Source organism: Homo sapiens, chromosome 15 (assembly GCF_000001405.40).
Source record: "Homo sapiens chromosome 15, GRCh38.p14 Primary Assembly".
Classification (NCBI taxonomy): domain Eukaryota; kingdom Metazoa; phylum Chordata; class Mammalia; order Primates; family Hominidae; genus Homo; species Homo sapiens.
Window position 1 is genome coordinate 66,801,475 of NC_000015.10, and position 27,269 is coordinate 66,828,743.

The 27,269-nt window shown below is 47.7% G+C and overlaps 1 pseudogene, besides 2 other annotated features; it reads left to right on the plus strand.

Moving 5' to 3' along the window:
* Positions 483–1,028: an enhancer, noted in NCBI's record as "H3K27ac-H3K4me1 hESC enhancer chr15:67094295-67094840 (GRCh37/hg19 assembly coordinates)". NCBI's record gives its function as "activates a minimal SCP1, AML or CMV promoter by ChIP-STARR-seq in primed H9 embryonic stem cells {active_cell/tissue: H9 hESC(primed)}" and the evidence as "EXISTENCE:reporter gene assay evidence [ECO:0000049][PMID:30033119]".
* LETM1P1 (leucine zipper and EF-hand containing transmembrane protein 1 pseudogene 1) lies at positions 7,093–9,195 on the plus strand (annotated as a pseudogene).
* Positions 26,251–27,027: an enhancer, noted in NCBI's record as "NANOG-H3K27ac-H3K4me1 hESC enhancer chr15:67120063-67120839 (GRCh37/hg19 assembly coordinates)". NCBI's record gives its function as "activates a minimal SCP1, AML or CMV promoter by ChIP-STARR-seq in naive H9 embryonic stem cells {active_cell/tissue: H9 hESC(naive)}" and the evidence as "EXISTENCE:reporter gene assay evidence [ECO:0000049][PMID:30033119]".

Below are 27,269 nucleotides of genomic sequence, written 5' to 3' on the forward strand. Positions count from 1 at the left end.
CTCAGAAAGGTAAGATGAGAACCTGTTCCAATACTATGTGAGTATATGGCAGAGTTGGAATTCAAATCCCGGTTATTCTCCCTCCCAAATTAATGTCCAGAACTTAACCTAGCATATGGTATTCTCAATGGGGGTTGTTAGAAATAGATGGATTTAATGAGTACCTGTGAGTACCTACTGAATGCCAAGCCCTGGCTAAGGTGCTTTTCATGTGGCATCTCATTTAATCTTTAGAATAGCCCTTGTGAGATGCATGCAGTTCTCATTTTACAAATCAGAAAACCGAGGCTCAGAAGTTTGTCCAAGGTTACACAGAGCCAAATAACGGCCTTTTAAAGAAAAGCACCCAACAGGAAGAATGAATGAGGAATAACTTGGATGTAGGGATCAGAGTTCCAGAACTCAGAAGGATGGGAGGATGGGGTAGATACTGTCTCCACTCACAAGAGGCAGCAGAGGGTTGAGGGGTAACTGATTTTTGGACAAGCCACCGCCCTGGCCTCAATTTCCTCAGCAGAAAAATGGGGCCACCAATACCTACCATACTGGGTTGTCATGAGGATTAATGAGATGATGCACACGACATGCTTAGAGCAATACCTGCTTTCCCTTGCCCTGCTGCTCTCTGTCAGTTGCTCAGCACTCTCGGGGGTGGGTCCCGTAAAACCAGCCTGGCATCCCACCCTACCCCCATCCTGATCTAGCACCAGTGTGTACTAAGAATCTATGGAATGAGGACCAGCGGAGCTTGTGCAACTCACTTATCCTCTCTGGGCCTCAGTCTGGACCACCAGTGTGGCGGGGGGCAGGGGGATGCTGGATGGGACCATCTCTGGGAGCCTCACCAGACCCAACTAAGCCCCATTCCTGACTTTCTCCTACCCCTGGCTTCTATTACCTTTGCTCTGAGTCCGAGCACGGGCGGCACACACAGGCTCTGGGGGCTGAAGCAGCTGCCCACTGCCCCAGGAACTGTCCCTGAAGCCTTCTTCAAAGGGATCCCCTCAACATACTCTAAGTGACAGATTCAGCCTTCTTTCTCCCACAGCCCCTAGCAGAGGCCCTCCCATTCCAGCAGTGGACAGGAAAGTGACTCAGCCCCCACGGCCCCCTCCTCAGACTCACACACCCGCAGCCTTGCTTTGGAAAAAGGGTGGTTTTCATTTCTTTCCTTTTTTTCCCCTTCAAGCACTCTTACTTGTTCTGTCCCTGAGCTGTCTCTCCCACGAGCCTCTGTGGTCTGGGCCAGAGGTCTATGGCCAGCCCTTCTCCGTCCTCTCCTAGTGGAGGGTCCCAACATTGGAGCGGGCTGTGTGGCCCTACTGTGAGTAGGGGAAGAGGTGGGCCTCTGGAGGCCCCCACTGGCCCCCTATTATATTGGCTTCTATTAAATTGAAACACATAGCACATCTATTACACAATAAACCACAGCTATTTCATGGATCAAATTAAGTTTTATTTGGGCAAATTACAACCTTTCCTACAGTTGTGCCTTTGTGAGGCCATTCCTTTTTAATAAAAGCAAGCATTTCTGGGGCTGGCCCTCCTGGACCAAAGCACCATGGTGGGTTGGGGGCTCAGGCCGGGGCTGGCAATAGGGTGGGGGTGTGTGTGCGTGTGTGAGAGAGATGGGAATTCTTGGGGCCCCTCTTGGGAATAGATTTGGCCCCCTCCTCCCCCTGCCTCCCCATCCTGAGTTTGCCATGGAAGTCTGCAGAGAACTTCTCATTAAACAAGAAAAAAGCAGCAGCAGCAGGAAGGCATTTCCCGGAATCTGGGAGGAAGCATGAGTCACCGGCCTGCTAAGTGAGCCCTGAGTGGCCACTGCGGCCCCAGCCCAGGAGGCCTGGAGTGCGGGGCCAGCGATCAGAGCTGCACCAGGCCAGCCCGCATGGACACGCCCGCTGCCCAGGCTGACGCAGCCTCCAGGAATGCAAACAAAGCTGGGCGGAGGGGCCTTGAGAGGGCCAGGGCACTGGGCCAGGAAGGAGGCAGAAGCCTGCAGGAGAGGCCTGTGGAGGGGCTTCGGGCCTCAGACAAGCCCCTCTCTGGTGTCCTTGGAGCCCAGGATACCTGGCTGGTAAGGCTTCTAACTCTGGGTATGACCTGGCCTAGCGCTGCCAGCTCTGGCCTTCAGGCTCCTTGTGGGGCAGGGACAGGAGTTGCTCCTAGATCAGAGGTTCACAAAGTTGGTCCCTGAACCAGCAGCATCAGCAGCACCTGGGAACTTGAGAGAAGTGCAGATCCTTGGCTCCCCACTACAGATCTACTACGTCGGAAACCTTGGGGTGCAGCCCAGTGATCTGTGTTTAACAAGCCCTCCAGGCAATTCTGATGCATGCTCAAGTTTGAGGACCACTGCATGCAATAATCTGTGGGCCAATATCAAACCCATATCTTCTATAAAGAGTCATTCAACAAAGTGAGATCTAAGGCTTAAGTAGTGCTCACTGTGTGCCAGGTACTCAGCTGACTGCTTTGTGTATGCTAACTCATTTAATCCTCAAGCCAACCCATTGAGGTCAGGTTCTATGATCATTTCTCCATTTTACAGGTGATATAAATGCTGTTTTCACCAGAAGCCACAGTTCTGGGATCTCAGAAGTGATGGATGATCCTAGGCCCAACTCAGAGATTGGCCCATGCTGGCTAACTAGTATGGTAGCTGGCTGGACATTCCCTGGGTAATTTTCTTAAAATGCCCTTCAGAAGCTGTCCTGCCACCTAAAAGGTGGAGCAGTGGGGAGAACCCTCACTCCAGAACTAGAGAATCAGGCAAGTGGAGTGAGAGAAGCAAGAAGAGGCCTGAAGGAAGTGAGGCCTGAGAGGGATGCAGGGTCCCATAAAGAACTGTTTCTCCAAATGTGGTGCCTGGACCAGCAGCATCAACAATGCCTGGGAGCCTATTAGAAATGCAGAATCGTGGACCCTACTCAAGACTTACTGAATCTGAATCTGCATGTTAATAAGATCCCCAGGGATTTGTGAGCACATTCAAGTTCAAGAAGTCCTGGATGAGGCACACGGGTAGATCCCTGACCCCTTCCCACTACAGGATAATGGGGATCTGGGATCTGCACCATGCTCAGTCCAGCTCTGTGGGGGCTCTGGCTCTCTCATTGGCACAAGCATCCCCTCAGTTAACCCTGGAACTTGAGGTCACTGGAGGAGGCCTCCAGTCCTTAAAACCCCACAGCCAAACTAGTACAATGAGTGAGATGCTCTCACCCTGCTGAGTCGCCACTTCCCAAGGTGGAGGATCTTCACTTCCTTTGTTTCTTTTCCTAGAATGTGGGCTCTGCGTTCTAACCCAGGCTCCGCCACTTACTGACTGTGATCCTGGAAGTTGCTAAACTTCTCTGCACCTTGGTTTTCCTTTTCTGTAATATAGAGGTGACACATTTTCTAGATCATAGCTTTTTTTGGTGCATATATCTAAGCAAATATATACATCATGCTTAGAAGAGTGGTTGGCACACACCGCCATTAACATTCGTCACTTGCTATGAGCCTTCCATCTTTCCCTCTTCTGGGTGGCCCTTGGGCTGGGGTGGGATGAAGGGAAGGTGGTGCTTACCTGTGAGGAGTCAAGGAAAGCAGTGCAAAGGCAGGGATACTGGACTGGAGGTGACTCCTGTAGGGGGAAGAAGGAAATGTGTTTGTATGACACTGGGGTATGCCAGGCTCAGTGCCAGGCACTTTCTTCCCTTCCACAGTTACACCAGAATAGTGCTGTTATTTTATAATCCTACAGATGGGGACTGAAGTCCCAGAAGGGCAGTGACCAGGCCAAGGTATTGCAGTTAGTGAGGGGTGGAGCTAGTGCTTGATGGGTCTGCCTGGCCAGCTTAACCTCAGCCACCCTCATGTGCCCCATGCTTCCTCCTCCACTGCAACCCAACTCAAGCCCTAGAGGGGGATCCAGAAGGCCAGGGCTGGCAGAGGAACAGGGAGTCTGAGAGCTCTTGGGCATGAAGCTTGTGGCTCCTTCCCTAGGTCCTCGGTTTCCCCTGGTTGGGCCTCCTTTTTGCAGGACAGCGGGACAGGTCTACTGAATGGACCTATCATGGGTTTGGCTTCTCCTGGCTTTGCTTCCCCTGCACAGTTTTCTGTCCCCCTGTCCCATGACTGGGAGGCAGGCCTTTGGCAGATATGTTAAAACGCCAGCATGGGGTACTTCTGGTTTCAGCTCTGATGTATAAAGAGTTTGGAAGTTGTCACACCCATCCTCACACCATGAAATAAGTTGAACAAACTGAAAGTCAACAATGTTTCTTAATTCTCTTCAGAGAATTAAGGTCACAGGGCAAACTGCCACTCTGAAATCTGGGGAGATGAGTGAATACAGCCAAGATCAGCTTACTTGAAGCAGAAACCACTGGAGTCAGGAACTGTTGGGAACACTTGAATAGTAATTTTGATGAATTTCTGGAAATTAAGAATGAACTTGCTTGAAAATTAAAAACTTCTGGGGGCCTAGTTGTAGGTCTCCCTTCAATACGTAAGTGGGTTTTACCTCCAGGAACCCCTCCAGACTGACATTGGGAAGATCAGAGAAAAAAAACCCTTGTTCCAGACAAAAAGAGTGGAAAAATAACCATTTGAAATACCCCTAGAGCTTTCTCAGTAACAAAGACCAACCCTCCCGAGAAACTACTTTATCAGAGCCTCGTCTGACTTGAGCAATTAGACAACTCAACCCCCTCCATCCTTCCTGTCTCTCTTACTTAAGGAGAAGGGAAAAAAATAATGGGGCCAAAAAATGCTTCTGAGGGTCACAGCCCAGGGGCTCAGGCCAACTGAAAAAACTAAGATTTAATAATAAAAGTATAGAGTGCCTCCTCTCCCCAACATTTTATTTCCACCACCACAACAGGTCTTCAGTATAATAACAATGAATTACAAATGTAACAGCTGTAAGACACAGACTCTTTAAGAAGGAGTTCTTAGGGAAACCCAAAGTTAACCACGGAGAAAAAACAAACCAAGGAAATTAGAGGAAACCAAAGCCTTTGGCACCTATAACTATAGCAAACCTTAAACACAGCTCAGCTCTAGTAAGATTAAAATAAAAACTCAGGCTAAACATGGTGGCTCATGCCTGTAATCCCGCACTTTGGGAGGCCTAGGTGGGCGAATCACTTGAGGTCAGGAGTTCGAGACCAGCCTGGCCAACACAGCAAAACCTCATCTCTACTAAAAATACAAAAATTAGCCAGCTATAGTGGTGGGTGCCTGTAATCCCAGCTATCCAGGAGGCTGAGGCAGGAGGATCACTGGAACCCAGGAGGCAGAGGTTGCAGTGAGATGAGATTGCACCCCTGCACTCCAGCCTAGGTGACAAGAGTGAGACTCTGTCTAAAAAAAAACCAAAAACCAAAAAACGAACAAACAAAAAACACCAACACACACACACACACACACACACACACACAAAAAAAAAAAAAAAAAAAAAAAACAGAATTAGCTGGGCATGGTGCGTGCCTGTAATCCCAGCTACTTGGGAGGCTGAGGCAGAAGAATTGCTTGAACCTGGGAGACGGAGTTTGCAGTGAGCCGAGATTGCACCATGGCACACCAGCCTAGGCAACAAGAGTGAAACTCCATCTCAAAATAAATAAACAAATAAGAAACAAGTGCAGTGAATAGAAAACAATTATAAACACGATACATAATAATCCAACTATATCAATAATCACTTTAAATACGAATGCTTTAAATGTACCAATTAAAAATAGGCTGTCAGAGGAATAAAAAAAGCTCTCTGTTGTCTACAAGAAGCCACTTTAACTATAAAGGTGAAAAGTAAAGAGACAAAATCTAACACTTTTTCATGACAAAACTCCCAAGAAAGTAGGAACAAAGGAGAATTTCCTCAATTTGGTAAAGAATATTTGCAAAACCTTAGAGCTAACATCACGCTTAATAGTGAGAAATTAGATACTTTCCAGCAAAGGTCAGAAACAAGCCAAAGATGTCCCCTCTCACCAGTCCTATTCAACATCGTACTGAAATTTCTAGCTAATGCAATAAGGTAAGAAAAGGAAAGAAAAGGTCTATAGATTAGGAAGGAAGAAATAAAGCTGTCTTTGTTCACAGATAACATGATAGTTTATGGAGAAAATCCCAAATAACTTCAAAAAAATGACTAGAACAAATAGCAAAGTTGCAAGATGCAAAGTTAATGTACAGGGCTGGGCGTGGTGGCTCATGCCAGTAATCCCAGCACTTTGGGAGGCTGAGGTGGGTGAATCACCTGAGGCCAGGAGTTTAAGACCAGCCTGACCAATATGGTGAAACCCCATATCTACTAAAAATACAAAAATTAGCCAGGCGTGATGGCGGATGCCTGTAGACCCAGCTACTCAGGAGGCTGAGACAGGATAATTGCTTGAACCCTTTTGGCAGAGGTTGCAGTGAACCAAGATTGAGCCACTGCACTCCAGCCTGGGCAACAGAGCAAGACTCTGTCTCAAAAAAAAAAAAAGTTAATATACAGAAGTCCATTGCTTTCATAGATACCAGCAACGAACAACTACAATTTGACATTTAAAATGCAGTAACACTTAGCAAAAAAAAGGAAAAAAAGAAAAGAATTATTTAGGTATAAACATAACAAAATTGTGTACAGGATCTACACAAGGAAATGATAAAACTAATGAAAGAGATCAACCATCTAAAGAAACGGAGTGTGCAGGAGCGGAAGTGCCCATTGGTGAAGGCAACCCCGCCTCCCCTCCCTGTCCCTGCTCTGCTCACCTGGTCCCCGGAAGTCTGTGAGTGGCTTGGCCGCCTTTGATGCTGGGTCCTGGACCTGTTTTTTGGTCCACAGCCTTTGTCAGTTGTCCTTGCGGGCCAGGTTGAGGCGCAACATAGGCCCAGGAGCCTCAGAGGAGGAAGAGGAGGAGGAGGAAGCTGCTGCAGGAGGCCCATGTCATCCATCTTACTGAGGAGCTGTCAGGGCTGGATGGCCTCCCGCCTCCCACCATCCCACGTCGCTGCCCTGAGGGGTGACCTGGGGGATCGTGCTGATCTCCATTGGACAAACATTGCAGGGCTGACAAGCCACGTGAATGTTCCATTTAGCTGCTGCACCCCCGCCTACCCGGTGTACCTTCCTTCAGATGCCATCACCTCAGCGGTTGGCCTGTGAGGCCGGAGCGCTGGCACACAGTGGCTACGGTGGCACCATGTTTGGTGGTCATGGGACCTCAGGACCTTCCTGCACGCTGCTGGCACTCATCTCCCCACCTTGGCGACTACTCCATAGTCAAGTCCCACAACGACAAGAACAAGAAGCTGGAGGAAGGCAGCCCCGGGTACAACCCCCCTGAAGAGGCGCCAGTGAAGTCTGTGGGGCGGAGGGTCCTGGACGGGCTGAAGCACTGTTACCACAGCTTCAGCCTTCTCTGGATGGACACCAGGACAGCCACACACTCGCTCTGGGGGATTCTCAGTGGCCATATGCTGAACCACCGGGAGCACAGGCAGTTTGTCCGTGTCCGTGCTGACCTCTTTTGCCTGGTCCCGCTCCTCATCTTTGCAGTGGTGCTTTTCATGGAGTTGCTGTTGCCCATCATAGTGAAAATCTTTCCCAACATGTTGCTGTCCACATTTGAGACCCAGTCCATCAAGGAGGAGAGACCGAAGAAGCAGCTATGGGGGAGCTGGAACTGGCTACATTTCTCCAGGACACCATCGAGGAGAAAAGAAACCAAGGGGAGGACTGCCAAAGCCTTCTCCATGTTTTTCCAGAAGATCCGAGAGACAGGAAAGACCTAACAATGAAGAAATCATGCGCTTTCCCAAATTATTTGAGGATGAGCTGACCTTGGATAACCTCACCTGCCAGCAGCTGGTGGCATTTGTGTGAGCTGCTGGGTCTCCAGGCCATAGGCACCAACAACTTCCTATGCTTCCAGCTCACCATGAGGTTGAGGTCCATAAAGGCCAACAATGAGTTGATTGCTGAGGAAGGGGTGGACAGCCTGAATATCAAGGAATTGCTGTCGACATGTAGAACTCGAGGGATGTGGGCCCTCGGGGTCCCAGAAAACCATGTGAGGAGCCTGCTGAAGCGGTGGCTGGACCTGCATTTGCATCAAGAGATCCCCATATCACTGCTCTTATTGTCCTGAGCTATGTACCTCCCAGACACCCTCTCTCCTACTGACCAGCTCAAATCCACCTTGCAGACTCTTCCAGAGACAGTGGTGAAGGGAGCCCAGGTGAAAGTGGACAAGGTTAAGGGTGAGCAGGTGGACAACAAAGTAAAATTGGAGGCCATATTACAGGAGGAGACGGCCATCCAGCTGGAGCACAGGGATAATGAGCTGCAGAAGCTATCCCAAGAAACGAAGTGGAAGAAGCCACCCCTGAGAGGCCAGTGGCTGACCAGCAGCCAGAAGTGCCTGATGTTATCCTGCCCTCAGAGGCCCTGAAGGACACTGCCCCTGTGCTGGAGATCTTGAAGGAGGAGAAAATAACTAAAGAAGAAATGGGTGTACTTAGCGATGCGTGTTCTAAACTGAAGGAGCAAAATAAGTCCCTAACCAAGGAGAAGGAGGAGCTGGAGCTGCTGAAGGAGGATGTCCAGGACGATAGTGATGACTTGCAAGAGATCAAGAAGGAAGTTTCAAAGACCAGCAAAGAAAAATATGTGGAAAAATCTAAAGCCAGCAAGACACTGACAAAGAGAGTTCAGCAGATGATCTGGTGGATAGACAGCTTGATCGCACAGCTGGAGATGGATCAGAGGCCTGGCAAGCTGGGCCAGGCAGAGGACTCAGGGGGAGCGGGAGAGAAAGTCATCGGTATCACTGAGCTCATCAGTACCATGAAGCAAATCAAGAACATTCCAGAAAACAAGCTGATCAGCTTGGCCTCAACACTGGATAAAAGTAAGAATGGCAAGGTCAACATTGACAAGCTCATTAAGGTGATTGAGCTTGTGGACAAAGATGTTCACGTCTCTACCAGTCAGGTGGCTGAGATTGTAGCAATGCTGGAGAAGGAGGAGAGGTGGAGGAGAAGAAGAAGGCTAAGGGAAAGGCTGAGGAGGAGGCTGCAGAAGTGAAGAATTAGGGCTGGTTTTGGCTCTCAGGCATGTTGGTGGCCCGACAGGTGTCTGCCTCCATCCTGCTTCACTAGCTGTTGTGGTAATGACCATAATAATAATCGCTTTGAGGTGATTCTTTTTTTTTTTTTTTTCAGTACTAGAAGAAATAAATTTTATTTTATTTTATTTTTTTATTATTATACTGTAAGTTCTAGGGTACATGTGCACAACATGCAGGTTTGTTACATATGTATACATGTGCCGTGTTGGTTTGCTGCACCCATTAACTTGTCATTTACATTAAGTATTTCTCCTAATACTATCCCTCCCCCATCCCCCCACCCCATGACGGGCCCTGGTGTGTGATGTTCCCTGCCCTATGTCCAAGTGTTCTCATTGTTCAATTCCCACCTGTAAGTGAGAACATGCAGTGTTTGGTTTTCTGTCCTTGCAATAGTTTGCTCAGAATGATGGTTTCCAGCTTCATCCATGTTGCTACAAAGGACACGAACCCATCCTTTTTATGGCTGCATAGTATTCCATGGTGTATATGTGCCACATTTTCTTAATCCAGTCTATCACTTATGGACATTTGGGTTGGTTCCAAGTCTTTGCTATTGTGAATAGTGCCACAATAAACATACGTGTGCATGTGTCTTTATAGTAGCATGATTTATAATCCTTTGGATATATACCCAGTAATGGGATTGCTGGGTCAAATGGTATTTCTAGTTCTAGATCCTTGAGGAATCGCCACACTGTCTTCCACAATGGTTGAACTAGTTTACACTCCCACCAACAGCATAAAAGTGTTCCTATTTCTCCACATCCTCTCCAGCACCTTTTGTTTCCTGACTTTTTAATGCTTTACTTCCAACTATGTGGTCAATTTTGGAATAAATGTGATGAGAAGCTGAGAAGAATGTATATTCTGTTGATTTGGGGTGGAGAGTTCTGTAGATGTCCATTAGGTCTGCTTGGTGCTGAGTTCAAGTCCTGGATATCCTTGTTAACTTTCTGTCTCGTTGATCTGTCTAATGTTGACAGTGGGGTGTTAAAGTCTCCCATTATTATTATATGGGAGTCTAAGTCTCTTTTTTAGGTCTCTCAGGACTTGCTTTATGAATCTGGGTGCTCCTGTATTAGGTGCATATATATTTAGGATAGTTAGCTCTTCTTGTTGAATTGATCCCTTTACCATTATGTAATGGCCTTCTTTGTCTCTTTTGATCTTTGTTGGTTTAAAGTTTGTTTTATCAGAGACTAGGATTGCAATGCCTGCTTTTTTTTTGCTTTCCATCTGCTTGGTAGATCTTCCTCCATCCCTTTATTTTGAGCCTATCTGTGTCTCTGCATGTGAGATGGGTCTCCTGAATACAGCACACTGATGGGTCTTGACTCTATCCAATTTGCCAGTCTGTGTCTTTTAACTGGGACATTTAGCCCGTTTACATTTAAGGTTAATATTGTTATGTGTGAATTTGATCATGTCATTATGATGTTAGCTGGTTATTTTGCCCGTTAGTTGATGCAGTTTCTTCCTAGCATTGATGGTCTTTACAATTTGGCATGTTTTTGCAGTGGCTGGGACCAGTTGTTCCTTTCCATGTTTAGTGCTTCCTTCAGGAGCTCTTATAAGGCAGGCCTGGTGGTGACAAAATCTCTCAGCATTTGCCTGTCTGTAAAGGATTTTATTTCTCCTTCACTTATGAAGCTTAGTTTGGCTGGATATGAAATTCTGGGTTGAAAATTCTTTTCTTTAAGAATGTTGAATATTGGCCCCCACTCTCTTCTGGCTTGTAGAGTTTCTACTGAGAGATCCGCTGTTAGTCTGATGGGCTTCCCTTTGTGGGTAACCTGACCTTTCTCTCTGGCTGCCCTTAGCACTTTTTCCTTCATTTCAACCTTGGTGAATCTGACAATTATGTGTCTTGGGGTTGCTCTTCTCGAGGAGTATCTTTGTGGTGTTCTCTGTATTTCCTGAATTTGAATGTTGGCCTGCTTTGCTAGGTTGGGGAAGTTCTCCTGGATAATATCCTGAAGAGTGTTTTCCAGCTTGATTCCATTCTCCCTGTCACTTTCAGGTACACCAACCAAATGTAGATTTGGTCTTTTCACATAGTCCTATATTTCTTGGAGGCTTTGTTCGTTTCTTTTTACTTTTTTTTCTCTAAACTTCTCTTCTCTCTTCATTTCATTTATTTGATCTTCAATCACTGATACCCTTTCTTCCACTTGATCGAGTTGGCTACTGAAGCTTGTGCATGAGTCATGTAGTTCTTGTGCCATGGTTTTCAGCTCCATCAGGTCATTTAAGGTCTTCTTTACACTGTTTTTTCTAGTTAGCCGTTTGTCTAATCTTTTTTCAAGGTTTTTAGCTTCCTTGCGATGGGTTCGAACATCCTCCTTCAGCTTGGAGAAGTTTGTTATTACCGACTTTCTGAAGCCTACTTCTGTCAACTCGTCAAAGTCATTCTCCATCCTGCTTTGTTCCATTGCTGGCAAGGAGCTGCGATCCTTTGGAGGAGAAGGGGTGCTCTAGTTTTTATAATGTTCAGCTTTTCTGCTCTGGTTTCTCCCCATTGTGGTTTTATCTACCTTTGGTCTTGGATGATGGTGACCTACAGATGGGGTTTTGGTGTGGATGTCCTTTTTGTTGATGTTGGTGCTATTCCTTCCTGTTTGTTAGTTTTGCTTCTAACAGGTCCCTCAGCTGCAGGTCTGTTGGAGTTTGCTGGAGGTCCACTCCAGACCCTGTTTGCCTGGGTATCACCAGAGGAGGCTGTAGAACAGCAAATATTGCAGAACAGCAAATATTGCTGCCTGATCCTTCCTCTGGAAGCTTTGTCCCAGAGCGGCATCTGGCTGTATGAGGTGTCAGTCGGCCCCTACTGGGAGGTGTCTCCAAGTTAGGCTACATGGGGGTCAGGGACCCACTTGAGGAGGCAGTCTGTCTGTTCTCAGAGCTCAAACACTGTGCTGGGAGAACCACTGCTCTCTTCAGAGCTGTCAGACAGGGACGTTTAAGTCTGCAGAAGTTTCTGCTGCCTTTTGCTCAGCTATGCCCTACCCCCAGAGATGGAGTCTACAGAGGCAGGTGGGCCTCGTTGAGCTGTGGTGGGCTCCACCCAGTTGGAGCTTCCGGGCCACTTTGTTTACCTACTCAAGCCTCAGCAATGGTGGACGCCCCTCCCCCAGCCAGGGTTGCTGCCTCGCAGTTCGATCTTGGACTAGCAGTAAGCAAAGCTCTGTGGGCATGGGACCCACTGAGCCAGGCGCAGCATATAATCTCCTGGTGTGCCGTTTGCTAAGAGTGTTAGAAAAGTGCCGTGTTTAGGTGGCAGTGTCCCAGTTTTCCCAGTACAGTCTGTCATGGCTTCCCTTGGGTAGGAAAGGGAAATCCCCCAACCCCTTGCGCTTCCCGGGTGAGGCAATGCCCCGCCCTGCTTCAGCTTGCCCTCTGTGGGCTGCACCCACTTTCCGACCAGTCCCAATGAGATGAACCAGATACCTCAGTTAGAAATGCAGAAATCACCCGTCTTCTGTGTCAATCACGCTGGGAGCTGCAGACCAGAGCTGTTCTTATTTGGCCATCTTGGAATGCCCCTTGAGGTGATTCTTAATGGCAAGTCTAATACTTTGTCTGAAATAAGTCAGAAGCTTCCATTTAAAAAAAAAAAAAAGAAAGAAAGTGGAGAGTTATCCCATGCTCATGGATAGGAAAATTCACTATCATTAAGATGACTCTTCCCAACTTGTTCTATAGATTCAATGCAACCCCAATTAAAATCTCAGTGAATTATTTTTTGATATTAACAGAACAGTCAACATAATTACTGAAAAAGAAGTCAGATGACTGACACTACTTGGCTTCAAAGCTTACTATAAACCTATAGTAATGAAGACAGTGTGATATTCACGAAAGAATAGACAAACAGGTCAATGGAACAGAATAGAGGGCCCAGAAATAGAGCCATGTAAATATAGTCAACTGATCTTTGACAAGGGACCAAAGGTAATTCAATGGAGAAAAGATAGTCTTTTCAACAAATGGTGCTAGAACAACTGGGCATCCATATGCAAAACAAACAAACAAACAAACAAACAAACAAAAAGAGTTTAGACACAGACCTTTAAACCTTTCATAAAAGTTAACTCAAAATAGATCATAGAACTAAACGTAAAACATAAAACTATAAAATTTCCGTAAGATAAGAGAAAATCTAGGTAACTCTGGGTTGGCAATGAGTTTTCAGGAAAAAATGCCAAAACCATGAACCATGAAAGAAAAAATATTTAAATCGGACTTCATTAAAATTAAAAACTTTTGTTATGCAAAAGACACTGTTAAGAGAATGAAAAGACAAGCCACAGACTGGGAGAAAATATTTGCAAGACACATAGCTGATAAAAGACTTGTATTCAAAATATATGAAGCTAACCTCGGCAGCATGGTGAAACCCCGTCTCTACAAAAAAATACAAAAATTAGCTGGGCATGGTGGTGCATGCCTGTAGTCTCAGCTACTCTAGAAGGCTAAGGCAGGAGGATTGCTTGAGCCCAGGAGGTGGAGGCTGCATTGAGCTGTGATCACTGCCACTGCACTCCAGCCCGGGTGACAGAGTGAGACCCTGTCTCAAAATATATATATGAAGAACTCTTAAAATGTAACAATAAGCAGACAGTCCAATTTTTAAATGGCAGAAGATCTGAATAGGCACCTCGCCAAAGAAGATATACAGATGACAAACATACATATAAAAAGATGATCAACCTAAGTTATCAGTAAGGAATTGCTAATTGAAATAACAATGAGATACCACTGCAGATTTATTAGAATGGCCAAAATCCAAACTGAAAATACCACATGCTAGCCAGGATGTGGAGCAACAGGAACTCTCTTCATTGCTGGTGGTAATGCAAAATGATTCAGCCACTCTGGAAGTCAATTTGGCAGTGTCTCACAAAGCTAAACATGCTCTTACTACACAATCCAGCAATCACACTCCTGGGTACTTATCTGGTTGAGTTGAAAACGTATGTCCACATAAAAACCTTCACACATGAGTGTTTATAGAGCAGCTTTGTCCATAATTACCAAAAAGTGGAAGCAATCAAGATGTCCTTCAATAAGGGAGTGGATAAACTGTGGTACACCTCTGCAATGGAACGTTATTCAGCGGTAAACAGAAATGAAGTATTAAGCCATGAACAGACATGGGGGAAGCACAAATGCATGTTATTGCACTTCATCTCAGCCAGAGGCCAAGAAGCCGTTCACATGCCTGTTACTAAGTGAAAGAAGCCAGTCTGAAAAGGCTACATACTGTATGTTTCCAATTGTTCCAGAAAAGACAAAACTATAGGCTAAAAAATTTAATGATGTCCAGAGGTTTAGGGGTAGGGATGAATAGGTGAAGCAAAAGGATTTTGGGGGCAGTGAAACTATTCTGTTTCTAACAATATTCCATAGAACTGAACCACACACAAAGGGAACCCTAATGTAAACTATGGACTTCAGTTAATATGTATCAATATTGGTTCATTAGTTGCAAAAAATGTACCACACGCATGCAATATTTTAATATTGGAACTTTGTATTCTCTGCTTAATTATTCTCTAAAATTGTTACTAAAGAATAAAACCTATTAATTAAAAAAAAACACAGCAAGGCAGCTCTTCAGAGTTCCATGGCCTTAGACAGTGACCACTGGCTACGTGTACTTGGCATCCAGGCAACATCTGGAGGCTTTAGTATGTGACAGAGATCAAGTCATTGTTTAGGGAACAGGGCCTCTGGAGCCTGACAGACATGGGATATAATCCTGACTCTATCACTCACCTGCTGTGTGACCTTGGTTCAGTCACGTAACCTCTCTGAGCCTCAAGTCTAGGTCTCTCATCTGTAAAGTAGGGACAATAATCGTAACTATTTTGTGGGTAGGGTGTTACAAAGATGAAATAAGACATTCTATGGAAAGTGCTTCAAATACTCCCTGGCTAGGTAAGGCCTCAATAAATATTACCTACTCACATTATTAGTAAGAAAAAATGAACACAATACTGAGCTCTTGCAGTATATCACTTCCTGCTGGTCACTGGAGACTCAGAAGTTCAAACACTGGTCCCCCCCAGGGCTCACTGTCTATGAGACTTACACTTACCAACCTCCTAGGGCAGAAACAACTGACTCCCTGCAGGAGGAGTGCAATGTGAAGCAGGCTTAGCTGAGGGGTAAGGCTGGGAAGAGACTCTGAGATGGGATGTTTGAGATAAGCCCCAAAAGATGAGGCTTATTCCAAGGTGACAACTGAGCAACTTGCTCAGATGGCCTGAGCAAGCCTTGGAGGATGGCTAAAGCATGGTGTATTCCAGGACTGGCAAGCAGTTTGGTGCACATCATGGACCCTAGAGAGAATCAGGACTGGAAAGGGCAGGATGGAGAGGTCACCTGGCCCAACTATCTCACTTTAGAGATGAGGAAACTGACAGGCAGAGGGAGGGGAAAAGACCTCCTAATTGTCACATTGCTACATTTGTTTTCATCTTCGGACTTAATGAACTTAGAGAATGAGAGTTTTGATAAGGGAGAAGGGTAGTGTAATGATGGTGATAATGATGATAACATATTTAATAATGGATTAATATGTGCTAAGCACTATTCTCGGGGCTTTACAAAAGTTATTTTATCCACAACATAACCCTCTGAGGTGGGTACTATTTATTCCCATTTTGTAGATGGGGAAATGGAGGCACAGAGAAGTTAAGTAATGACTCCCCATTGCTTTCAGGATATTAGCAGACACTGCTCACTGCCCCTTCCTCATGCACTCCCAAATTTCTGCCTTACTGGCAGAGCAGTAGTATTGTTCCTTTATCCCCCTTATCCCACAACTGGAGCTTTAGGAGGGGCCAGCTCCAGGGTAGATGCTTTGTTGGTTTCAATCAATCATGTCAGTTCACTCTTCTTGCCAGAGATTGGTTCAAGTACAGGTTTTCCTGGCCTGTTAGAAGTGGAGGGAATTGGGAGGCCAAGGCGAGCGGATCACGAGGTCAGGAGATCGAGACCACGGTGAAACCTCGTCTCTACTGAAAATACAAAAAAATTAGCCGGGCGTGGTGGTGGCTGCCTGAAGTCCCAGCTACTCGGAGAGGCTGAGGCAGGAGAATAGCGTGAACCCAGGAGGCGGAGCTTGCAGTGAGCAGAGATCGCGCCAATGCACTCCAGCCTGGGCGACAGAGCGAGACTCCATCTCAAAAAAAAAAAAAAAAAGAAGCTGGGAGAATTATGGAAGTAGGTTGGTTTGTTTGTTTGTTTTTGAGGTAGGGTCTCGCTCTGTCACCCAGGCTGGAGTGCAGTGGCCTATCTTGACTCATTCCAGCCCCTACCTCCTAGGCTTGAGTGAGCCTCCTGAGCCTCCTGAGTAGCTGGGACTATAAGTGCATGCCACAACACCTGGTTAATTTTTGTATTTTTAGTAGAGATGGGGTTTTGCCATGTTGCCCAGGCTGGTCTTGAACTCCTGAGCTCAGGTGATCCGCCTACCTGGGCCTCCCAAAATGCTGGGATTACAGGTGTGTGCCACTATGCCTGGCTGGAAGTAGTTTTTTTTTTGAGACAGAGCCTGGCTCTGTCACCCATGCTAGAGTGCAGTGGTGCAATCTTGGCTCACTGCCAGCTCCACCTCCCAGGTTCATGCCATTCTCCTGCCTCAGCCTCCTGAGTAGCTGGGACTACAGGCACCTGCCACCATGCCCAGTTCATTTTTTGTGTTTTTAGTAGAGATGGGGTTTCACTGTGTTAGCCAGGATGGTCTCGATCTCCTGACCTCATGATCCGCCCGCCTCGGCCTCCCAAAGTGCTGGGATTACAGGTGTGTGCCACCACGCCCAGCCTGGAAATAGTTTTTTTAATTGTAAAAGAGAGCTGGAGGAGGAAGGGAAAGCCCCCAGGAACAGGCTATAGCCCTTCCTCCATCACTGGACATTGCATGTGTCTGCATGTGATGTCAGAGCTGTGACAGCCACCTTAGGTCCATGAGGGGACAAGTCTGAGCATAGTCTGACACACTGAAGATGGTGGGGTGGAGGCAGGGAATTAACTGAGTCCTTGAAGATGTGGTTGAATTTTGAATTAACCTGCTGAATTAACCAATTCTGGATGCCTCCTCTCATCTTGACATATGAGATCTTGTATCACTTACTTGCTATGCCAGTTGTATCAGAGTTTTCTGTTCCTTGCAGCTGAAAGCATTCTTGTTGGTGTGAAGATGAACCCCAAAGCCACATATCATTCAAGCCTAAACCCTGCAGCCCTGTTTCTTCTCAACATCGTTTGCTGTAGCCAGAGTCGAGGACTTGCTCTTCCCAGGAAGGGCCTCTGGGTCTCTGGGCATTGCCATTTGCTCTTCCATCTATTCAAAGTATCCTTCCATGTAGTTGTTTTACACATCTCCTCCTCCTCCTCTTTTCTGAGCTGGTTGCTCCATCACCTTCTCTGCAGAGTCTGCGTGGATTCCTAACTAAGGAGTCCCACAATACCCACCTATGTGACCACCATCACTCTTGTCACCCAAGATTGTCAGATTGTCACTTATTTGTTTATGTAACTGCCTTATTTCCTGCACTGAGGGCAAGGCCTGGTCATGCTCATCTCTGTGCCCTTGCCACCCAGTGCAGGGCTTGGCCCAGAGCACACACCCTCTGAGTGGCTATGGAATGAATGAGTGTAGAGGTCATCTTAGTCCCCTGGGGCTCACAAGTGGTACTAGAGAGGCAGCGTCTAGGATGACAGCATTAATAACTGCAATCATTAATGAACCACTTCCTCACTACGGGCCAGGCACTTCCCACACATTATCTCACATGCTCTTTATGGCATGATTGTTATCCCCATTTTATAGATGAGGAAACAGGCACAGAGGCACAAAGCAACTTGCCTGAAGTTGGGGTTTAAACAGAAGTCTGTTGGTCTGTCGCTAAGTGAAAAAAGAAATATACTAAATGTATATGTGTGTGTATGTGTGTTTGATTGCAATAATGGTAGGAATATTGGCAATTTACATTTCCAATGTTCTCAGTATTTCCAATTTTGTTTCAGAAGTATAATGGGGAAAAATAAAAAATCATATAGCCAAAGGTTTAGAGAATTAATGTCGGGCTGAGCCATGTGCCCTGAGGATGTCATTTTTTTTTTCCTTAAGAGACGGAGTCTCGCTCTGTCCCCGGGCTGGAGTGCAGTGGCACGATCTTGGTTCACTGCAAGCTCCGCCTCCTGGGTTCACGCCATTCTCCTGCCTCAGCCTCCAGAGTAGCTGGGACCACAGGCGCCCGCCACCATGTCCAGCTAATTTTTTGTATTTTTAGTAGAGACGGGGTTTCACCGTATTAGCCAGGATGGTCTCGATCTCCTGACCTCATGATCCGCCCGCCTTGGCCTCCCAAAGTGCTGGGATTACAGGCATGAGCCACCGCGCCTGGCCAGGATGTGACATTTTTAAAGGATCCTATAGTAGAGCAGGGGGCCCAAATAATTCTGCACTCCCAAGACGCAATCTGAACAGGGCAATATCAGCATTGCCTGATGTTCTTATTCTGTATTCTGTGCTCCCATGAGTTTTGGGAGGTTTTCATTTGGTTTTTATTTCCTTTCTTCCTTTTTCTTCCTCTCTCTCTTTCTTTTTTCTTTCTTCCTTTCTTTCTCTCTATTTCTTTGCCAGACATTGAGGATAATGAATGAGCACTGATTAAATTTTTCCAGCACTGCTTAAAGTTTTTGTACTTAAAAAGGTTAAATCATTAGGTTGTTGGGTGTGGATAGGGAGGTAGAAAACTCATCTCCAAAAATATACCCTCTTTCTTTCTTGTTTATATAAAATGTTGTCCTGAAGGCTTCGCAGGACTGGAGAGCAAGCACACAAACAAAATCAGGTCATAACCATTCTGCTGTCTGCTCCTCTCCCCACTGGGCCCTGGGTGGAGCCCCAGGACAAAGGTCTGGGGGGCACCAGGAAGCAAGGCCAGAAAACCCCAGGAGGGGACTTTTGCATGCCTTGGCTCAGGCTCAGAAGTGCAGGGAAGAAACTGAAATAAGTGGCTAGATCCTCACAGCCCAGGCCAGTGATGCTGGCTCCCCAGCCCAGCACAGGGTCCCTGCTCAGAGAGAGGCGGCCTCAGTTCTCTCATCTGTGAAATGGAGCTGTTGTGAAAACCCACCAGGATGACCCATGGGACTGGCGGGAGGGAAGACCAGGCTTGGGGCAGGAGCTCAGGAAGTGTGGGTTGAGCCCCATCTGTGAAGATGGGCTTGGGGTAAGGAGGAGCTTCTGCAGGTCAAAAAGCATGAGTTTTTAAGAAACTCTTTCTGTTCCTAGCTTGGGAAGCACATGTCTTCTGTGAATCATTTCTTCTTCCTGCAGCATGGGGGTGTTTTTTTCCCCACTTCATCTTGAAGTCATGTAAACCTCTAATGCCAATTTCTGCTTCCGCACAGGCTGGTTGCCAGCAGCCGCCTGCCTGTGCCATCTTGAGGCAGCGTGACTGGTGAGGAGGCTGCAGGGCAGTGTCCCCCTCCAGAGAGAAGGCCCTGCCCTGCACTTGCCATGTTTTAAGCATCTGGCATGGGGCAGTGGAAAGAACTCTTGATTAGCATCAGAAGCCCTGAGTGCCTCATGGTCCTGCCACAAAGCTGCTTCTGCCACCTCAGACTTCAGCTTCCACCCTGGGAAATGGGGCATCTGGTCGAAATATGCACAAAGGGCCTCCTCAGCTTTGTGGTCCCATGGAAAGGGCTGGGACAGCTGGAGGAAGGCTAGCAGGGAGCTGAGACCTCTCCTTCCAGGTCCTCCCTCCAGGTCCCCACTTGATCTGGGCCTCCATTCCCTGACAGGGTTCAAGGCAGCAGCAGCTACTGGATAACGCAGACCAGATGCAGCCCTTTCCCCAGACATGCTCAGGGGCCTTCCTCCTCGGAGGCCTTGGGGATATTTGAAACTCCTCGGAGTTTGGCTTCAGAGGCTGGAGTGGAAACCACAGCTCCATTATGTGAGCACACATGATCTCCCTGGGAGGAAAGGAATGGGCTGGCCTCAGAAAATGAGAGACAAGTTCGAGGCCACTGGGTCTATGGAGAACATGTTTTCATCTCTGAGTATGCCAGTGTCTGGGAACCTCAAGGAGGGCAGGTCCTACGTGCTCTGCCAGAACGGAGGGCCTGACCCCTGAAGGGGTGGGCTCTCTATGACCAGAGAATAGGAGCAAAGGCCAGGGGCTTTTACAGGGGAGACTTGAGCCTGGTATAAAGGCTGGACATCCACCAAGGAACCATTTCACTTCACCCCCAATGCCATCTCATATTTTGAAAGCTTTACATTTGCCAGACAAGTCCTTGAGGAAGAAAAATTCCATTAAAGGGGAATGACTCCCTCCCCTCCCCTATGGCAACCCAAGCAACTACATTTGCCCAAATAAGTGGAAGATGGTTCCAAAGCCACTGACAGTTAAGACACCCCAACTTCCATCACTGCCTAGTTGGGTAACTTTGGGCCAATAATTCAATATCTCCAGCCTCAGATTTCCCATTTGCCTAATGGAAATACTGAGCCTCACCTGACAGTGCTCTAAGGTGTGCAGGAAGGAGCCTAGCCGAGCCTCAGTAACGACAAGTCAGCGCACTCCCGAATAACAGGGATGAAACACTCATTCCCATTCCTAGGGATCCAAGACCCTCATAAGTTCCCAGCAGCACTTGTGGTTGGCAAAAATAACCAAGACATCCCCAGGGGTGGCTGTGGTCCAGGCTGAGGCAGTCAGCCTGCTCGGTGAGCGTATAGGCCTGAGTGATGGTGGGGGTGGAGGACTTTGAAAGCTGCAGAAAATGAGTCTCCATCACGTATACCCTTAAGGGCAGGAATCAGGGCTGAACCCATCTCTGCTGACGCTTCCAGCCTTAGATTCTTTCTCCCAAACACTCTCAGGGGTGAAGGCTCAGGCAGGCAATGGATCCCCAAGCTTGGTACTGCCCAACATCCATTCACCTGGGGTGCTCTGGGCTAGTTTCTTGGATATTTCTGTGAAGTGTGGGACAGACTTGTTTGGTAACTTAGGAACCTCAGTTTCCTCCTGTATGAAATGGAAGCAGTAGCCGTTTTAGCCCCCTGGCAGGTTGTTGTGAGGGTTAGGGAGAGTGGACAGTAAGCCCGATTGTGTGATCCTCCCCACGCGGTAGGGAGAGACCTCAGGCTTTAGGGCACCAAAGACTGGGGTTGCAGCCAGGGTGATCAACTCCTAGGAGAAGGGTCCATCCCCTGTACAGGGTCTGGGAGTGGGTGGGGCAGGTTCCTGTAAAATTTAAGATTTGTGGATAGAAAGAGATTAGACTTAGTGATGAACCTTGTAATAGTCAGGCCATGCTGGCCAAAGATAATGAAGGCTTTTCTACTCCTGCCAGACCCCTGACTGGGTCTCTGTCTGTGCCCTCCCTGGCCACAGTCCATCCTTCCTCTCATCCACCATTCATTCATGCCATCACTCATTCCACAAACACTTTTCAAGCCCCTTCTCTGTTCCCAGCACCGGGGATACAGCTGCAGATGAGGGTGAGTCTTGCCCTCCTAGGGCTTACAGGCCACACGGGGGAGAAAGGCCTTAAACAAATGGCGACACACATCAATACAAATAAATACAAAATTACAATTTTTTTAAAAGGTGGGGTCTTGTTCTGTCTTCCAGGCTGGAATGCAGTGGTGCGATCATAGCTCACTATAACCTTGAAATCCTGGGCTCAAGCAATTCTCCGGCCCAACTTGGGAGGCTCCTACTTGGGCAGCCTCCCAGGTAGCTAGGAGGACTACAGTCATGCATGCACCACCACACCTAGCTAAGTTTTTTATTTTTATTTTTGTAGAGACAGGGGTCTCACTATGTTGCCCTGGCTGGTCTTGAACTCCTGGCCTCAAGCAGTCCTCCCACCTCAGCTTCCCAAAGTGTTGGGATTCCAGGCATGAGCCACCATGCCTGACCAAAATTACAAAATTTAGCAAGTGAGTGGAAGGAAAAGAATGAGATGTTACAAGAGTGGATAATGAGAGCTGACTCTTCCTAAAGGCCAGGGCTTACTGTGAGGCTGCAGCATCCGAAACACTCGATATTTGATAACTGGATCCTCACCATGTTCCTGCAGGGTGGGTGCTGCTGCTCTCGCCATTTTCCAGGTAAGAAAACTGAGTCTCAATAGGTGGAAAGTCTTGTTCAAGATCCACGACTAGGAGAGTGGAGCCGTGGTGTGGCCCGGCTCTGGCCCAGAAGCTGCACTACCCCAGGAAGTGGGAGACCAAGAGCGGCTGCTCCAGGACCGGCCTTCTGCTGAGATGGGACAGGTGAGCCGAGTTGGCTTGAGAAAGAATAGGAAGGAGGACTTCTAGGAACAGCTTAGGCCTGTGTCCTATGGGCAGGAAAGAAAGGCAAGCAAGAGGGGATGAATGAAGAGAGAGAAGGAGAATGGAGGAATGGGGCATTCAGGGCCTTGAGGGCCATGGGGTATCTGCCACATCCTGAGCGAATGGAAGGCTGATTTGGGGTGGGAGCCTGGAACCATGATGAATCGCTAACTTGATGCAAAAACACACTTCCCAGGGCCAGGGCTGATCCCAGATCTCCGTCATTCCCTGTCATCCTGTGACATTGGAGGGCAGGCTTCCATCTTTCTTTTTTTTTACAAATGAGGAAACCAAGACTTGGAGCAAAAGTCAGATGTTTTTGCTTAAGGTCACAGAGATTGACATGGCGAGTTCCCTGCCTTTTATCCCCACACCCAAATCCAACCAACCTGAGCAGAAGTTTTAGTCCACTGAAGATCAGTCAGCCCTTCAGGAACAACTGCCTTGTCTAGTGGAGAAGATGGACATTGTGGCAGATCAGTTGCATGCAGGGCCCTGCAATTCTTCCCCACTGCCTGTAACCACGTCCTTTGCCAAGTAACTCTGCAATACCCTCCTGCCCTGGGTAAAAAGTTCTGCCAAACCTGGGCTCTGGGCTCACCTCTGCACTTTGCTTGGACTGATAGGATGGTAGCTGACTTGGCACAGCAGAGGCCTGACAAAGCACCCGCACATTTCCCCTTTTGCCTCTTCTCTTCTGCCATTGTCATGAGACCATGCTGGGCTAGCTTGCTGAAGGACCAGATGCGGCCTCAAGCCAAGTCCCCTCTGTCATCCCAGCTGAGCCATCACAGATCAACAAGCTGACCTACATGTGAGAGACCCCAACCCAGATCAGCCAAACCCCACAAACTCTGTGCTAAATAAATGTTCAAATCTGCAATTTTGGGTTGTTACGCAGCATTATTATGGTGATTGAGGACAGGTACAGACATGCATGTAACCAATTTAACTACAGATTGCAGATGATAGGGGCTCTGCCGGTCACCTGCATGGAGCAGGGGAGGAACAATTAATTCTGAACCCAGAGGTCAGGGAACGCATCATAGCGCAATGAACACAAGAGCTGAATCTTGAACAAGAAGGAAGAAGGCATCCCAGCCAGATGAGACAGACATAGGCCCTGATCCCTGGTTCCCATGGTTCCCAGTCAATTTGCAAGAGCTTGCCTTCTATTTTGTTCTTTCCAGCAAAGCCCTGGGTAGCTGTGTGCTTCCTCCACATCCCATTTGGTGGAACTCCTATGACTTGTTAACGGAGTTCCTATGACGAGAATGACAAGCTTGGACTCTGGGCTCGCACTACTGGGATTTCAGCCCCAGCTCTGCCCATTTCTAGCTGTGTGACCTTGGGCCAGTTACTTAAGCTCTCTGTTCTTCAGTTTCCTCATCAGTAAAATGAGGTTAATGCTCAGGCCTCAGGGGATCTTAGAGTGGGTAATGGAAAGCACAGCCCCCTCTCTCAGACCCCACTCTGGGCTTGGAGGCAGAAGAGTAGGAGAGGCACCTGGTGCAAGGCCTTGGCACAGAACTCCAGCTCTGCTTCCAACATGCTGGGTGACTTGAAGCTCCAGTTTTCCCATCTGTAAAGTGGCAATCTGCTTCTTCAGGACATAGTGAGGTTTCAAGATCTCAATGGGAAAGGCCTTTGTAAGAGCTCAGGTGCTGCACACATGTCTGTTACTGCAGAGACTTCTCTGAAAGAGAGCAGTGGAACAGGCCAACATCTCTTCAGCTCCTCATGGGCCTGGGCTCTCAACAAAGGTGCTCTTGCCTAGCCTACGAGGCCCAGCTGGGGCTCAGCTTCTCAGGGAGCCATCCTCGACACCCGTGCTTTCCCTCCTACACCTCCCAGCCTTTGATATCCCCTACTCTGGAAGGTGGCCCCAGTAGGCCCAGCACTCCCAGAGCCAACTCTAGCCAGCAGGAGGGCTGGGCCTGCCGGGGCCCACCTTGCAGGCAGATCTGACACTGCCCCTGCTACCAGGCCAGCACGCCATGAGCCTGGAAACGGGCTGAGGGGACCTGCATGGTTAGCAAGCCCAAGTGCCACCATGAATACTCACTCAGGCAGCTCCCACGGGGACCACACAGGGAATCAATGCATGATGTGGCCCAGGGAATGGAACCTCCCAGGGTGGGCAGCCTGTGCCAGACTAGAAAGTGTGTATCCCCCCATTCCAACAGAGTGTTTTAATACAGTGCACTCAAAGCACCGGAACAAAGAGCAGAACTACAGGACAGAGGCATCTTCGTTTCCCAGTCACAAATGTCTGCTCTGTATGTTTTTGGGGTGTCATGGGGTGGGGGAAAAGATGTGTTTTTCGTTTCTTTTCTTTTTTTTTTTTTTACAAACAGATAAAATCAGCCAACCTGGAAGGGAAGAGAAGTACCTGTCGTCTGCTCTGCTTCTGTGAAGGAGGGTGGGGTGGGGGTTCAGGGTCTAATTGGGTGGAGAACCTACTGTGCGCAAGAGCACAGGCCTTTGCTGGAGAGAACAAAACAGAAGGCAAGCTCTTGCCTATTGACTGGGAACCACGGGAACCAGGGATCAGGGCCTGTGTCTGTCTCATCTGGCTGGGATGCCTTCTTCCTTCTCATTCAAGATTCAGCTCTTGTGTTCACTGCTCTTATTTTGTCTGCCCAGCATTGCCCTTTGCAAGAACTGCTCCGCACTGTCATCAGCCACCAGTTTCCAGCAGGATTTGCCACGTTTGTTCAAAGTGACCCTCCTCCCCAGGTGGCAAGCACCTGACTCAGGCTGAGCCAATCAGTGCCTTCTGCAGAGAATTCGGAATTGGAAGCAGAGGACCTCAGTTGCCTCATGTCTGGAGGCCACATCAACCCAAGTGCTGTTGACAGCCATGCTTACTCCTGCTGACCAGAGGAGAGGGCAGAGCCAGGGGCTGGGAGAGGAGAGGGCAGAGACAGCAGGGAGAAGCCAGGTGAAAGAAGGAGAGGGATCCCAGCTGGGCCTTTGGTCAGGTATTCCAGGAGTTACCCCTGGCTCCTTTCTGTAATTTCCATATCCCTCCCCCTAACATTTTTCTTTTTCTTGCTATAGCAAGTTTAGGTGAGTTTTTGTTGCATACAAATAAAACAATCCCACGTGAGATAAAGAAAAGCATGGTGAGATCTCGCCTCATATGGCTACCTCTCTTTGAACCAGCTGCTTTGTTCACATTATTTCATTAGATTCTTTTGATGACTTCATAAGGTAGGGATTGTTACTGTCTCCATTTGACAGATGAGAAAATTTAGGCCCAGAGAGGTTAAACAGCTTGAGAAGAGTCACACAGCTGAAAGGAACTTGAGTCTGGGCTGGCTGCTTCTAGTCGCCGTGTGGTGCACTCTTCTTATGCACTTACCTGGCCTTGTGGAGAGGTTTGCATTTGAAAGGCTGAGGGATCTGTTGGGCCTCCTGTGGAGCCTGTGATTCTCTGGAGTATTTGACTGTGTTCTACTAAATAAATTTGTACATGTCGAGAAGGAGCCAAGCTGGCTGGCCTTTAAGTTTTCAGTGCTGAGCTGGAGGTGGCCCCCTTGGGGAACCCAGCCAAGGTCTGGCCAAGACCCCAGACCAGGCCGGTTGGCCAAGGAGGCCGACATCATGTCCTGCCACAGCAATGAGACCTGCTAGTGAGTCGTGGGCTCAGATGGGCCTGGGACAGATATGGCCCTCTCCCTGACCCTGAGCCTAAGCCACCCACTCAAGGAAGCATTTCAGGGCCCAGGTGGCTGTGACCTTCTTTCCTCTGTTCTCCTTGACACCCATTTTGCCATGGTCACCTCTCAGGGCTCTGGAACCCTTGGCTGAGTTCTGCTGAAGAGCCATGCAAGACAAGACTGAGACCAAAGGAGGCTTGGCCCTCGTCCCCTTCAGGCGCGGACGATTGTCCTTGGAAGGGCAGATGGAGAGAAGACGCAATACTGGCTGGGCCATGGGAAGCCACGGGACCCCAGAGGAAATAGCAGGGGACCCAGTAGCTCAGGGAAGATGCTCAGAGCCACAGCCATGTACAGACAGGTGACTTCTCCAGAGACAGAGGCCAGCCCACTCCTGTTCTTTAAAAGATTTAACATTTGCTCATTTGAATTCTATGAACATATAGTTTCAAAAGAAATGGAATGAGAAAAGAAAAGACCTTTTATGTGAGGAATGTGAGCCCTTTATCAGGCCCAGAGAGACATTAAAATGAGACAGCAATCACATCCTAGTTCCCCCTTGAGCCATGTCTTCAACTCTTGAAACTGCTGCAATTGCCGCAAGTGGTTATAAATTAACGTAACAATGTGGCACAGGACACTATCACCCATACCCTACAGGTTAACAATGTATACCAATCACTAATCAATGTTATTTCTGTAAACCAACACGAATTCCTGACAAACAACTTTGTATCAGGCAACTACCTGTCCCCCCTTTTTTGCCTTTAAAAATCCACTTGTAACTGCTGCTAATTGGAGTGTATATTCTGGGCAACTTAAATCTATGCTCCTGAGGTTGCAACCTCAAGCTTATTCCAGATAAACTCTCTATTTATATCTATTGTGCCTACCTTCTTCCTTTTAGGTCCTCAGGGACCATGCTATATGACATATATATATAATTTATGTATACTTATACATAAGTATAAATTATAGGCCAGGCGCGGTGGCTCACACCTGTAATCCTAGCACTTTGGGAGGCCGAGGCAGGCAGATCACAAGGTCAAGAGATCGAGACCATCCTGGCCAACATGGTGAAACTTTGTGTCTACTAAAAATACAAAAATT